Source organism: Homo sapiens, chromosome 7, assembly GCF_000001405.40.
Source record: "Homo sapiens chromosome 7, GRCh38.p14 Primary Assembly".
In the NCBI taxonomy this organism is placed as follows: domain Eukaryota; kingdom Metazoa; phylum Chordata; class Mammalia; order Primates; family Hominidae; genus Homo; species Homo sapiens.
In genome coordinates, this window is record NC_000007.14 from 36,245,179 (window position 1) to 36,259,449 (window position 14,271).

Consider the following 14,271-nt stretch of genomic DNA (forward strand, 5'->3'; position numbering starts at 1 on the left):
CTCAGGTCATCCACCCACCTTGGTCTCCCAAAGTGCTGGGATTACAGACATGAGCTACCGCGCCTGGCCACAGAGTTGATTCTTGATCACATTGTGAAGAGGGGGACATTTTGCCCTTGTGTACTCAGTTTTCTCGTATTTTCTCCACTTCCTTGCTCCAGTGGTCCTTACTGTGTTTGGGGGCTTTCCTGTTTCACCTGCCCTACTTACCATCAAATCACGTGTTCTGGGAAGAGGTGAATGGTGAACACAAGCCCAGTACATAGATACACAGAGACCCCCAAGGCATAAATCAGTAGGGTTCTAGTTTTTGCCTCTTATTCTTTGTCTTCATTTAGGTGCAGTAGATTGGGTAGGAGGTGGGGGCCCCTTGTGGGATCAGGCTTCTGAGTTTCTCTTCTCTCCTAACGCTACACAGAGCCAGTTCCCAGACTAGTAAAAGTGACTTGTCACTTATTTTTAAAATGTTATAAACCATACAATTAACAATCTAAATTCTTCAACCAATTTCTTCTTTTGAAAAATGGTTAGAACCATGAGCAGATGATCTAAGATGTGTGAGTGTCAGTGCATGTGACATTGGTCTGAAAAAGTGTTTTGGATTTAGATGTGCTTTTTTTGTCAAACATCCATTAGGTCCCAAGAGCAAGAACTTGCTGTAAGAAGGATACATGTCATGCAGTTCTCTGTTGTTTTTGCTCTGAGAGTGGGACACTTCTGTTTTTCTGAACTTAAGTCACAGGTACTTGTTTCCCAGGCTTTAAACACAGGCCCATCTAAAGCCTTTAAAAGTGGCATTTCATAAAAGGAAATAAAAATATTGGTACAGCTTGATTTAGAAAGATCATTTTTCAATGACCCTTTCAAATGGCTTCCTGCAAAGCCACAAACAATAGTTTGGCCGGTCATTCCAGCTGGACCGTGGTAGGACCAGAGGGCGGACCACTGGCTGACCCAACCTGAGACCAGTGCCTGCCTGAGAAGCTGCCTGTGTGAGCTGGGCCCTCAGGAGACACAGGCCACCCACCTGGTGGCCTTGCCAGTGCTGCCGCTCCCAGATCATGACTCTGTTATAATTACAAGTCCACTGAGTTCATGCTGTGAGGGCAGTGGTGGGGGTTGAAGCCAGCCCTGCCATTTGCCAGCTGGGGGACATAGGAGGCCAGGTACTGGCTAGCCTCTGTTTCTTTTTAACATGGAGCTTCAGAATAATACCTATCCTATTAGGATATTGTTATGAGAACTAAGTGAGATGTGTGAAATAAAAGCCGTTATGTATATCGTAAGCACCAAAGTGGCAGTAGCTGGTACTATCCCCTCTACTGCTAATTAGCTGCTGCTGTGGTCGTCATCATCATCATCACTGGCATCTCGTCCTTACTTCTCTCTGGAGAAGCCCAACTTGAGATCGATCTGTTGCCATTAAAAGATGTGAAAGAAGTTGCATCCCCACTGCTCCTTTTGCCAAATTGTCTAGGAAAAGATGCCTGTCAGTCCTCCCTGCTGATAGGTGTTTTTTTTTTAGAATTTCAGCTTTGGAGCCCAACTCCTATTCTAGTTTTCCTGAAGATGGAGCAGACCTCTAAGATGTCTTAGAGTGCTTTACATGTGTGACAGAGTATGTGCATTTCATCAGCAAGCTTGGGACTAGAAAAATTGAACTTGGGCTGGGCGCAGTGTCTCACGCCTGTAATCCCAGCACTTTGGGAGGCCAAGGCGGGTGGATCGCCTGAGGTCAGGAGTTCGAGACCAGCCTGGCCGATATGGTGAAACCCCATCTCTACCAAAAATACAAAAATTAGCCAGGCGTGGTGGCACACACCTGTAATTCCAGCTACTCGGGAGGCTGAGGCAGAATTGCTTGATCCTGGGAGGCAGAGGTTGCAGTGAGCTGAGATCGCACCATTGCACTACAGCCTGGGTGACAGAGTGAGACTCCATCTCAAAAAAAAAAAAAAAAAGAAAAGAAAAAAATTGAACTTGACAGATTAGTCAGGGAGTTTCCAGGCAAACCCTAGTGGTGGGCAACGTTAGAATGATAGCTTCCTGGGAATTTTCAGAAGGAAAGAGGATGATAAGCCATTTTCACATAGATGTGTGTGAATAACCTAAGGATGCAAAGTGCTTGTGTCTGTAATTGGTGAGGGTGTTTTCTGAATATACACACATGTACATCCATAAACACTACCTCTCTTATTACGTGCTTTTGGAGTGTTATTCACTATGATTTGGACTTGCAATTAACTTAGTTTCTGCAACAATTGAGTGCTTGCTCAGTGCCAAAATTATACTGTTTACCAACGGGGATAAAGTTATAAAGATACATGTGATTATAAAGATACATTTACATTTGAATGGCATAGAATCCCAGAACTTCAGAATCAAGGGAGACTTTTAAAACCATCTAATCCAACCCTGTCATTTTGCAGACAGGACATTGAGGCCAAGGGAGTTGAAGTGCCCTCTGCCCCAGGTCCACAGCAGGTGTGTTGGTAATCCAGGACCCATCACAGCAGACTGGGCTCCATTTCCCAGCTCCTTTAAGTGCAACCAGCTGCCCATCTTCTGTGATCTCATTTAATCTGAACATCAGCCTTAGCAGGCATACTGGACGATCCTATCTCCGCATTTCCCAGGAGTGGGAGCAGGTCCATAGGATCAGTCCTGGCCCAGGTGATGGGGAACCAATGCCCAGATCTTCTCATAGTGTGACTTGTAGCAAAACAGACTTGCACAGTTGGTGTTAGCCTCCTCCAGCAGGAGAGGCAGAGAATGTGGGATGGGGGATAGAGGACGCAGAAGGAGGTTCTGGGTTCCAGATGTGGACAATGTCAAAGGAGCACCTAAAAGTGAAGGAACACACAGGGTGTGAGGGCTGCCTAGAGACCATCCACCTAGCAGGTTATGGGAGCCATGAGGACACGTGAGAGGTTGGAGGACGTGGACTGGACACACCTTTCATTTGGGCTTGGTGTCCAAATGAATTACTTCAAGAATCTTAACTTATAAAAATATATATACTTTAAGATACTTTTTTTTTTTTTGAGACAGAGTCTCACTCTGTCCCCCAGGCTGGAGTGCAGTGGTGCAATCTCAGCTCATTGCAACCTCCACCTCCTGAGCTCAAGCGATTTTACCCCCCTCAGCCTCCCGACTAGCTGGAATTACAGGCTTGCACCACCACACCCAGCTAATTTTTTCTATTTTTAGTAGAGAGTTGGTTTCACTGCATTTCCCAGGCTGGTCTCAAACTCCTGGCCTCAAGTAATCTGCCCACCTCGGCCTCCCAAAGTGCTGGGATTACAGGCATGAGCCACCACCCTCGGCCAGATACTCTTTTTTTTTTTTTTTTTTTCCAAAAAAACACTGTGTTATTTCAAAAATATCAGAATGAGATTCTTCAGATCCCTTATTTATTTTCCCCCACCCCCGCCACACTTAGCCCTTCATGTAGTCAGAGCTGAATTTGAATACCACCTTGAGTGATCAATATTCATATATTTGTATAAATTTGCATTGGGTTGAGCAAGATCAGTGGCTAATCATGAGTAAACTCATTGTAATCACTTTCCTGGCTAAGTTTCTATCAGCAGGAAGATGGCAACTTCTCCTTGAAAGAGCTGGTGAGCAGATTGGGGGTGGGTACCATTGTGGAGCCCAGACTCCGCTGTATGGAGTCTAACTCAGGCTCACTGCAGCCACCACAGCTGCCACTAGCTCCACTTCACAAACTCAGTGCTCAGGGTCCACCCAGGACCTCGCTGCCGGAAAGTGGGCATTTTAGTTAATTATGGGCTAGGCTCTGTGGTTCATTAAACACACACACACACACACACACACACACACACACACACACATTTTCTCCTTATTCTTTGAAAATCATCACAAGATATCAGGTATATTCAGGGGCTCTCACTACCTTTTTCTTTTTATGAAAAGCTTTTCTTCTAAGTGAGCAAAAAAACAGAGTCCCCAAACAGGACTTTTAAACTGTCTTTCGTTCCCTCAGCTATCAAAGATAAGCAAATTAAACCATGAGGGTTCATTTTAAATTTATTGCATTAGTGAAGTTTTAAAGCATGATGTGTAATGGTGAAGTTGTGTTGAAATCAGTGCCCCCGGCCACTGCTGGGGAGGGCAGGTGACATGGTGCTGGCCTTTTCCAAGTTCTTGGGCAGAGCATTTCATTAGTGTTTGTGATGTCCCCATCCTTTGACCTGTGATCCGGTTCCTGGGACTGTATCTTAAGGAAATGATCGATAAAAATGGAGAAATAATAAACACGCTATGGCATGCTTTATAACTATGAATAAGTGGGAGGCAGTTCAGTGCTATGTAGGAAGGGAGAGGTTAAAAAAATCCGTGGTAGGTCTACCCAAGGGCCTAGTATATATCCATCAAAAATGATAAGATCTTTTAGCCTCATAGAATTGTGGTATAATATTTGCTATGAGGGAGAATAAGCCGCTGTACCTACTGCGGTTACAACTCTGTAAAACATGTATTTATTCTTTGAACCAGTGTGTATTGAGTACCTCCTTTTGTCAGGGCTTATTCAAGGCTGGAACATGCCTACAGCTGTGGACAAGACCTTTCCCTTTCGTATCTCCTGTAGCTCGCATTGTAACTTAAGAGAAAAACCTTAGCAGTGACACAAATGTTTATTTAAATACAGTAGCAATAAGTGCTTTAAAAAAAACAGGTTGTCAAGAGGGAGGTCCTCACCTAATGTTCTTATGATATCAAAAAAATATTTAAGGCCAGGCACAGTGGCTCACACCTGTAATCCCAACACTTTGGGAGGCTGAGGCAGGAGGATCACTTGAGCCCAGGAGTTGGAGACCAGCCTGGGCAACATAGTGAAACCCTGTCTCTACAAAAAAGTTTTTAAAAGTTAGCTGAGCATGGTAGCATACATTTGTAGTCCCCGCTACTCAGGAGGCTGAGGTGGGAGGATCACTTGAGCCTGGGAGGCCAAGGCTGCAGTGAGCCATGATTGCACCACTGCACTCCAGTCTGGGTGACAGAGCAAGACCCTGCCTCAAAAGAAAAAAAAATTAAAAATACTAATTACATAACTTTTTTTCCATTTTCAGTTTTTAAAATCAATTTAATATTCCTGGACTGAACTTTTTAAGATCCACTTGGCAGCTGTGACTGGAGGAGCAGGAGGAAGGGACTAGAGGGATGGAGGTGCACAAGGCTAGAAGGGTGGATGGTGCATGGAGATGGAGCTGCCCTGAGTGGCCCAGAATCCTGCACAGGAGGCCCTTCTAGATCAGAACAACCTATGGCCAGTCTGCAGGTGAAATCTGGCCCATAGCTTGTTTTTATAAAGTTTTATTGGAACACAAATGTACCCATTCAACTTATTGTCTGTGGCTGCTTTTACACTATAACGACAGGTTAAGTTGTTGTGACAGAGACAGTATAGCCCATAAAGTCCAAAATGTATCTTATTTGGCCTTTTATAGAGTTAGAGTTTGCCAGCTCTCGTTCTAGATCAGTGGTGCTTGGCTATTGACCCCTTTAAATATCAGATGAAAGCTTCATGCCCTCATCCCAGAAAGATGCGTATATGTACCTCTCCACATATAGAGGTACTCATTGAGTTTCCACATTCAGGAGGTCCCAGCACTGTTGAAGCTTCTCCATGGAGCCCTCAGGTTCATACTTCTTGACACTAGTGGAGGTAGGATTCATTTCTTTACCCCCAAAATGTTGAAATAGCTTCTCTCATCTACCAAATGAGATGAGCCTAGTGAGGAAATGAATCAACCCTTACCAGTGGGGTTTAGTGCCCAGTCAACAGGGGGGCCATTTATGTGGTTAGAGTCCAGTCAGATTTTAGACAATATCATGTCCCACTGGCACAGAAACAACATCCCATCCATTCTGTTTCTTTGGCTTATGGTTTGACCCCATATGGGTTATTCTAAAGGAATTATCTGGTTTATAGACATCTATGCTCCCATTCTTAATCCTCTTCTTTCTAGAGCCATTTCCTTCCTCTATAACTTCAGACAAATGTAGGTCTTCCTAAACCTCCAATTGTGCTGGCATTTGCCTTCCCGTCATTTTTGCCACTGTCCTATTTCTCTTCTTTCCTCTACTGGTAGGTTTCTTTCTTTCTTTCTTTCTTTCTTTCTGAGATGGAGTCTTGCTTTTGTTCCCAAGTCTGGAGTGCAATGGCACAATCTCGGCTCACCACAACCTCCGCCTCCCGGGTTCAAGCAATTCTCCTGCCTCAGCCTCCCGAGTAGCTGGGATTACAGGCATGCACCATCTTGCCTGCCTAATTTTGTATTTTTAGTAGAGACGGAGTTTCTCCATGTTGGTCAGGCTGGTCTTGAACTCCCAACCTCAGGTGATCCACCCGCCTTGGCCTCCCAGAGTGCTGGGATTACAGGCATGAGCCACTGTGCCTGGCCCCCTACTGGTAGTTTTCTTAAAGGTAAATTCTCATCCTACACAGCCAACCTTCATCCCTCCTCGACTCTCCTTAACTCTTAGGAACCTGGCCCCTGTCCCAGTTCATCTAACAAATCATAGCTCACCTTCCCCAACTTCTAACCTAACCCAAAGCATTTTAGTTTTCAAAAGTTTTTTGCTTTCTAGTATTAAAAAGTATTATGAAATAATTTTATGTAGAATTTAAAATTACATATATGCAATGATTTTTTGGTAATTTCTGTACAGTTATTTGATTTTTATAATGAAAACATTGATTTTATGTTGAAATATATATTTTAATTTTGCAGCCACTTAGACGCAGTGATATGAATTCAGGAGTGAGAAAAGGAAATCAATCCTGCTCGGAGCTTAGCTTATCTAGGTCAGCTGAGCTGCTTGGGGAACCTGCATCCACTGCCATCTTTTACTCACGATGGTTGTTTAATTAATTTTTCTTCATACTCTGAAAGTTTCGTTACTTCTTAGTCTTCTTATTGATTCTGGATTTATAGAAAAAAAGAACAGAAGTCTTATAATATCCATGCGGATTACAGACTCAGGCAGAGGCCAAGGCAGGGCCTACACCAAGGGCAGAAAGGTCATTTCAGTCAGACCTGAAGGTTTTGGGGGCGCAGTTGCCTTTTGCAGTTGTTTGGGTCTAAATGTGGACAGGAGAGCCAGGTTTATTCTGGCGGTGAAGAATCATGCCCCGCCCCCCTCCATGTTTTGCTATGACTTCTGTTAGCATCAACTAGAGAGAGTTTTGCTGGCCTGTCATGGTGGCTTGTAAATGATAGGCTGGTTTTGTGAACTTGTCTAGCCCATGGTTTAAGCATAGTGTGGCCATGCTAAAAACTTTTCCTGTGAGCTTTCTATCTCCTTGAGATGCCCTCTTTTTTCTGGGAAAGCATCTGGAGTTTCCAGTTCTGAATGACAAGAGTAGCTTATATCAGAATAACCTTCCCTCAAATAACAATATAAGCGCCAGGGAAAATGCACACGTGTATTCGAAGGTACCAAAGTGTGGCCAAAACAGGGAGAAATGGAGGAGCTTCAGCCGCTGAGAGGAGGAACTAGCTGTTGGTGAGCTCTGCATCAATCTGGCTTTCCCCCTTATGGTACGCCCCAGACTGTGGGGGCAGGCAGAGCTCAGACAGAAAGTGGAGGTCTCTGGTGTGATAGCATGAGTGTTCTCTCCTTTTTTTTTTTTTTTTTTTTTTTTTTTTTTGATCAGTCTAGGTAAAGGTTTCTCAGTTTTTGCTAAACTTCTCAAAGAACATTTGGTTCCATTGGTTTTTCTGGGTTTTTATTTTCCTATCCTCTATTTCATTAATTTCTGCTCTCATCTTTATGTTTCTCTCCTTCTCCTTCCTTTAGGTTTAGTTTGATCTTCTTTGCCCAGTGTCTTAAGGTGGAAGCTTAGGTTATTGATTTGACATCTTCTTTACATCAGTAAAGAAGATCTACCCCCATACATTTCACTCTAAACACTGCTTTAGCTAGTATGTTGTATCTTAATTTTAATTCATCTCAGAGCATTTTTAGTTTTCCCTTGTGATTTCTCCCTTGACCCGTTGGTTATTTACAAGTGTATTATTTAATTTCCACAAATTTGTGAATTTCTCATGTTATTGATTTCTAATTTCATTCCATATCACTGTGGTCAGAAAACATATTTTGTTTGATTTCAATCCTTGTAAATGAATTGAGGCATGTTAGGGACAGCCTAACATAAGGTCTGTCCCAAAGAATGTTCCATGTGCACTTCAGAAAAATGTGTATTCTGCTTTTGTTGGGTAGAGTCTTCTGTGACTATCTGGAGGTCTAGTTGGTTTATGGTTTATGTTGTAGTTCAAGTCTTTTATTTCCTTGTTGATCTTCTATCTGGTTGTTCTGTTATTGAAAGTGGGTATTGAACTCTCCAATTATTATTGAATTGTTTTTTACTTGAATTCTCTCAGTTTTTGCTTTATGTATCTTGGGGTCCTGTTATTAGCTACACATATATTTATAATGGCTTGGTTTTTTAATTGATTGACTCTTTTATTATGATAGGATGTTCCTCTTCACCTCTAGTAACAGATTTTTTTAAAGTCTATTTTTCTTATGTTGTCAATTCAGCTTTCTTACAGTTGCTATTTGCATGATATATCTTTTTCCATCCTATTACATTCAGTTACGTATATCTTTGCATCTTAAATGTGTCTCCTGTATACAGCATATAGTTGGACCTTGGTTTTAATCCACTTTTAGTCTCTACCTTTTTATTGGATTGTTTAGTCCATTCACATTTAATGCTATTATTGCTGTAGTTGAATTTATGTCTGCCATTTTATCTCTTGTTTTCTGTGTCTTATGTCTTTTTTTGTTCCTCTGTTCCTCATTACTTTCTTTTGCATTAAGTGAATATTTTCTAATATGGCATTTAAATTATTTTAATAATTTTTAACTATACTTTCTTGAGTTATTTTCTTAGTGATTGAGCTAGGATTTACCATATGTATCTTTTTTATTATACTTTAAGTTCTGAGGTACGTGTGCAGAACAAGCAGGTTTGTTACATAGGTATACATGTGCCATGGTGGTTTGTGTACCCATCAACCCATCATCTACATTAGGTATTTCTCTTAATGCTATCCTTCCCCTAGCCCCCGACTCCCTGACAGGCCCCAGTATGTGATGTTCCCCTCCCTGCGTCCATGTGTTCTCATTCTTCAACTCCCACTTACGAGTGAAAACATGCAGTGTTTTGTTTTCTGTTCCTGTGTTAGTTTTCTGAGAATGATGGTTTCCAGCTTCATCCATGTCCCTGCAAAGGACATGAACTCATCCTTTTTATGGCTGCATAGTATTCCATGGTATATATGTGCCACGTTTTCTTTGTCCAGTCTATCATTGATGGGCATTTGGGTTGGTTCCAAGTCTTTGTTATTGTGAATAGTGCTGCAATAAATATACGTGTGCATGTGTCTTTATAGTAGAATGGTTTATAATCCTTTGGGTATATACCCAGTAATGGAATTACTGGGTCAAATGGTATTTCTGGTTCTAGATCCTTGAGGAATCACCACATAATGTCTTCTGTCTTCCACAATGGTTTAACTAGTTTACGCTCCCATCAACAGTGTAAAAGCATTGCTATTTCTCCACATCCTCTCCAGCATCTGTTGTTTCCTGACTTTTTAATGATCGCCATTCTAACTGGCGTGAGATGGTATCTCATTGTGGTTTTGATTTGCATTTCTCTAATGACCAGTGATGATGAGCTTTTTTTCATATGTTTTTTGGCCGCATAAATGTCTTCTTTTGAGAAGTGTCTTTTCATATCCTGTGCCCACTTTTTGATGGGGTTGTTTGTTTATTTCTTTTAAATTTGCTTAAGTTTCTTGTAGATTCTGGATATTAGCCCTTTGTCAGACGGATAGATTGCAAAAATGTTCTCCCATTCTGTAGGTTGCCTGTTCACTCTGATGATAGTTTCTTTTGCTGTGCAGAAGCTCTTTAGTTTAATTAGATCCCGTTTGTCAATTTTGGCTTTTGTTATCATTGCTTTTGGTGTTTTAGACATAAAGTCTTTGCCCATGCCTATGTCCTGAATGGTATTGCCTAGGTTTTCTTCTAGGATTTTTATGGTTTTAGGTCTTACACTTAAGTCTTTAATCCATCTTGAGTTAATTTTTGTATAAAGTGCAAGGAAGGGATCCAGTTTCAGTTTTCTGCATATGGCTAGCCAGTTTTTCCAACACCATTTATTAAATAGGGAACCCTTTCTCCATTGGTTGTTTTTGTCAGGTTTGTCAAAGATCAAATGGTTGTAGATGTGTGGCTCTTTATTACTGCCTCAATTTCAGAACTTGTTATTGGGCTTTTCAGAACTTGTTATTGGGCTATTCAGGGATTCAACTTCTTCCTGGTTTAGTCTTGGGAGAGTGTATGTGTCCAGGAATTTATCCATTTCTTCTACATTTTCTGGTTTATTTGCGTACAAGTGTTTATAGTATTCTCTGATGGTAGTTTGTATTTCTGTGGGATCAGTGGTGATATCCCCTTTATCATTTTCTATTGTTTCTATTTGATTCTTCTCTCTTTTCTTCATTAGTCTGGCTAGTGGTCTATCTATTTTGTTAATCTTTTCAAAAAACCAGCTCCTGGATTCATTGATTCTTTGAAGGGTTTTTTGTGTCTCTATCTCCTTCAATTCTTCTCTTATCTTAATTATTTCTTGTCTTCTGCTAGCTTTTGAATTTGTTTGCTCATGCTTCTCTAGTTCTTTTAAATGTGATGTGAGGGTGTCAATTTTAGATCTTTCCCGCTTTCTCCTTGGGCATTTAGTGCTATAAATTTCCCTCTAAACACTGCTTTAGCTGTGTCCCAGAGATTCTGGTATGTTTTGTCTGTGTTCTCATTGGCTTCAAAGAACTTATTTATTTCTGCCTTAATTTCATTATTTACCCACTAGTTATTCAGGAGCAGGTTGTTCAGTTCCCATGTAGCTGTGTGGTTTTGTGTGAGTTTCTTAATCCTGAGTTCTAATTTGATTGCACTGTGTGCTGAGAGACTGTTATGATTTCCATTGTTTTGCATTTGCTGAGGAGTGTTTTACTTCCAATTATGTGGTCAATTTTAGAATAAGTGCAATGTGGTGCTAAGAAGAATGTATATTCTATTGATTTGGGGTGGAGAGTTTTGTAGATGTCCATTAGGTCCACTTGGTCCAGAGCTGAGTTCAAGTCCTGAATATCCTTGTTAATTTTCTGTCTTGTTGATCTGTCTAATATTGACAGTGGGATGTTAAAGTCTCCCAGTATTATTGTGTGGGATTCTAAGTCTCTTTATAGGTCTCTAAGAACTTGCTTTGTAAATCTGGGTGCTCCCGTATTGGGTGCATATATATTTAGGATAGTTAGCTCTTCTTGTCACATTGATCCCTTTACCATTATGTAATGCCCTTCTTTGTCTTTTTTGATCTTTGTTGGTTTAAAGTCTGTTTTATCAGAGACTAGGATTTCAACCTCTGCTTTTTTTTTGCTTTCCATTTGCTTGGTAAATATTCCTCCATCCCTTTATTTTGAGCCTATGTGTGTCCTTGCACATGAGATGGGTCTCCTGAATACAGCACATTGATGGGTCTTGGCTTTTTATCCAATTTGCCAGTCTGTGTCTTTTAATTGGGACATTTAGCCCATTTACATTTAAGGTTAATATTGTTATGTGTGAATTTAATCCTGTGATTATGATGCTGGCTGGTTATTTTGCCTGTTAGTTGATGCAGTTTCTTCATGTTGATGGTCTTTACAATTTGGTATATTTTTGCAGTGGCTGGTAATGGTTTTTCCTTTCCATATTTAGTGCTTTTTTCATGTGCTCTTGTAAGGCAGGCCTGGTGGTGATAAAATCTCTCAGCATTTGCTTGTCTGTAAAGGATTTTATTTCTCCTTCGCTTATGAAGCTCAATTTTGGCTAGATATGAAATTCTGAGTTGAAAATTCTTTTCTTTAAGAATGTTGAATATTGGCCCCCACTTTCTTATGGCTTGTAGGGTTTCTGCAGAGGGATCAGCTGTTAGTCTGATGGGCCTCCCTTTGTGGGTAACCTGATCTTTCCTTCTGGCTGCCCTTAACATTTTTTCCTTCATTTCAGCATTAGTGAATCTGATGATTATGTGTCTCGGGGTCGCTCTTCTCAAGGAGTATCTTTGTGGTATTCTCTGTATTTCCTGAATTTGAATGTTGGCCTGTCTTTCTAGGTTGGGGAAGTTCTCCTGGATAATATCCTGAAGAGTGTTTTCCAAGTTGGTTTCCATTCTCCCCGTTACTTTCAGGTACACCAATCAAATGTAGGTTTGGTCTTTTCACATAGTCCCATATTTCTTGGAGGCTTTGTTCGTTCCTTTTCATTCTTTTTTCTCTAATCTTGTCTTCACGCTTTATTTCATTAAGTTGGTCTTTGATCTCTGATATCCTTTATTCCACTTGATCGATTTGGCTATTGATACTTGTATATGCTTCACGAAGTTCTCATGCTGTGGTTTTCAGCTCCATCAGGTCATTTATGTTCTTCTTTAAACTGGTTATTCTACTTAGCAATTCCTCTAACCTTTTTTCAAGGTTCTTAGCTTCTTTGCATTGGGTTAGAACATGCTCCTTTAGCTCGGAGGAGTTTGTTATTACCCACCTTCTGAAGCCTACTTCTGTCAGTTCGTCAAACTCAATTTCTGTCCAGTTTTGTTCCCTTCCTGGTGAAGAGTTGTGATCCTTTGGAAGAGAAGAGGCATTATGGTTTTTTGAATTTTCAGCCTTTTTGCACTGGTTTTTCCTCATCTTTCTGGATTTATCTACCTTTGGTCTTTGATGGTGGTGACCTTCAGATGGGGTTTTCGTGTGGACATCTTTTTTGTTGATGTTGATGCTATTCCTTTCTGTTTGTTCGTTTTGCTTGTAATGTCAGGCCCCTCTGCTACAGGTCTGCTGGAGTTTGCGGGAGGTCCACTCCGGACCCCGTTTGCCTAGGTATCACGAGTGGAGGCTGCAGAACAGCAAAGATTGCTGCCTGTTCCTTCCTCTGGAAGCTTCTTCCCAGAGGGGCACCCACCAGATGTCAGCCAGAGCTCTCCTGTATGAGGTGTCTGTCAACCCCTGCTGGGAGGTGTCTCCCAGTCAGGAGGCACAGGGTCAGGGACCCACTTGAGGAGGCAGTCTGTCCCTTAGCAGAGCTTGAGCGCTGTGCTGGGAGATCCACTGCTCTCTTAAGAGCTGGCAGGCAGGAACACTTAAGTCTGCTGAAGCTGCACCCACAGCCACCCCTTCCCCCAGGTGCTCTGTCCCAGGGAGATGGGAGTTTTATCTATAAGCCACTGACTGGGGCTGCTGCCTTTCTTCCAGAGATGCCCTGCCCTGAGAGGAGGAATCTAGAGAGGCAGTCTGGCTACAGTGGCTTTGCAGAGCTGCAGTGAGCTCCGCCCAGTTGGAACTTCCAGGCGGCTTTGTTTACATTGTGAGGGGAAAGCCTACTCAAGCCTCAGTAATGACGGACGCCCCTCCCCCCACCAGCTCCAGCATCCCAGGTCGACTTCAGACTGCTGTGCTGGCAGCGAGAATTTCAAGCCAGTGGATCTTAGCCTGCTGGGTTCCGTGGGGTTGGGATCCACTGAGCTAGACCCCTTGGCTGCCTGGCTTCAGCCTTATTTCCACGGGAGTGAACGGTGAACGGTGAACAGTTCGGTTTTGCTGGCATTCCAGGTGCCACTGGGGTATGAAAAAAAAAAAAAAAAAAACTGCAGCTAGCTCAGTGTCTGCCCAAACGGCCACCCAGTTTTGTGCTTGAAACCCAGGGCCCGGTGATGTAGGCACCTAAGGGAATCTCCTGGTCTGTGGGTTGTGAAGACTGTGGGAAAAGCATAGTATCTGGGCTGAAGTGCAGCGTTCCTTACATCACAGTCCCTCATGGCTTCCCTTGGCTACGGGAGGGAGTTCCCGGACCCCTTGTGCTTCCCAGGTGAGGTGATACCCCATCCTGGTTCAGCTCGCCCTCCGTGGGCTGCACCCACTGTCTAACCAGTCTCAATGAGATGAGCCAGGTACCTCAGTTGGAAATGCAGAAATCACTCACTTTCTCCATTGATCTTGCTGGGAGCTGCAGACTGGAGCTGTTCCTATATGGCCATCTTGCCAGCCTCCCCATATATATCTTAACTTACCAGATTTGTACTTAGTTCAAATTTATACTCTATTTCAGACTTGTGCTCACTTAATTTTAGTAAGATATAGAAACGTTACTACTGTATAGCTGTATTCCGTCTTTCCCCCTTTTGTGCTATTG

General features: G+C 42.2%; 1 protein-coding gene across 1 annotated transcript in view, besides 3 other annotated features; it reads left to right on the forward strand.

Annotated features, from left to right (window-relative positions):
- EEPD1 (endonuclease/exonuclease/phosphatase family domain containing 1) overlaps positions 1–14,271 on the forward strand; it is a 148,285-nt gene that overhangs the window by 91,925 nt on the left and 42,089 nt on the right. The window lies entirely within an intron of this gene.
- Positions 1,016–1,518: an enhancer, noted in NCBI's record as "H3K4me1 hESC enhancer chr7:36285803-36286305 (GRCh37/hg19 assembly coordinates)". NCBI's record gives its function as "activates a minimal SCP1, AML or CMV promoter by ChIP-STARR-seq in primed H9 embryonic stem cells {active_cell/tissue: H9 hESC(primed)}" and the evidence as "EXISTENCE:reporter gene assay evidence [ECO:0000049][PMID:30033119]".
- Positions 12,635–13,443: an enhancer, noted in NCBI's record as "NANOG-H3K27ac-H3K4me1 hESC enhancer chr7:36297422-36298230 (GRCh37/hg19 assembly coordinates)". NCBI's record gives its function as "activates a minimal SCP1, AML or CMV promoter by ChIP-STARR-seq in primed H9 embryonic stem cells {active_cell/tissue: H9 hESC(primed)}" and the evidence as "EXISTENCE:reporter gene assay evidence [ECO:0000049][PMID:30033119]".
- Positions 13,444–14,250: an enhancer, noted in NCBI's record as "NANOG-H3K27ac-H3K4me1 hESC enhancer chr7:36298231-36299037 (GRCh37/hg19 assembly coordinates)". NCBI's record gives its function as "activates a minimal SCP1, AML or CMV promoter by ChIP-STARR-seq in primed H9 embryonic stem cells {active_cell/tissue: H9 hESC(primed)}" and the evidence as "EXISTENCE:reporter gene assay evidence [ECO:0000049][PMID:30033119]".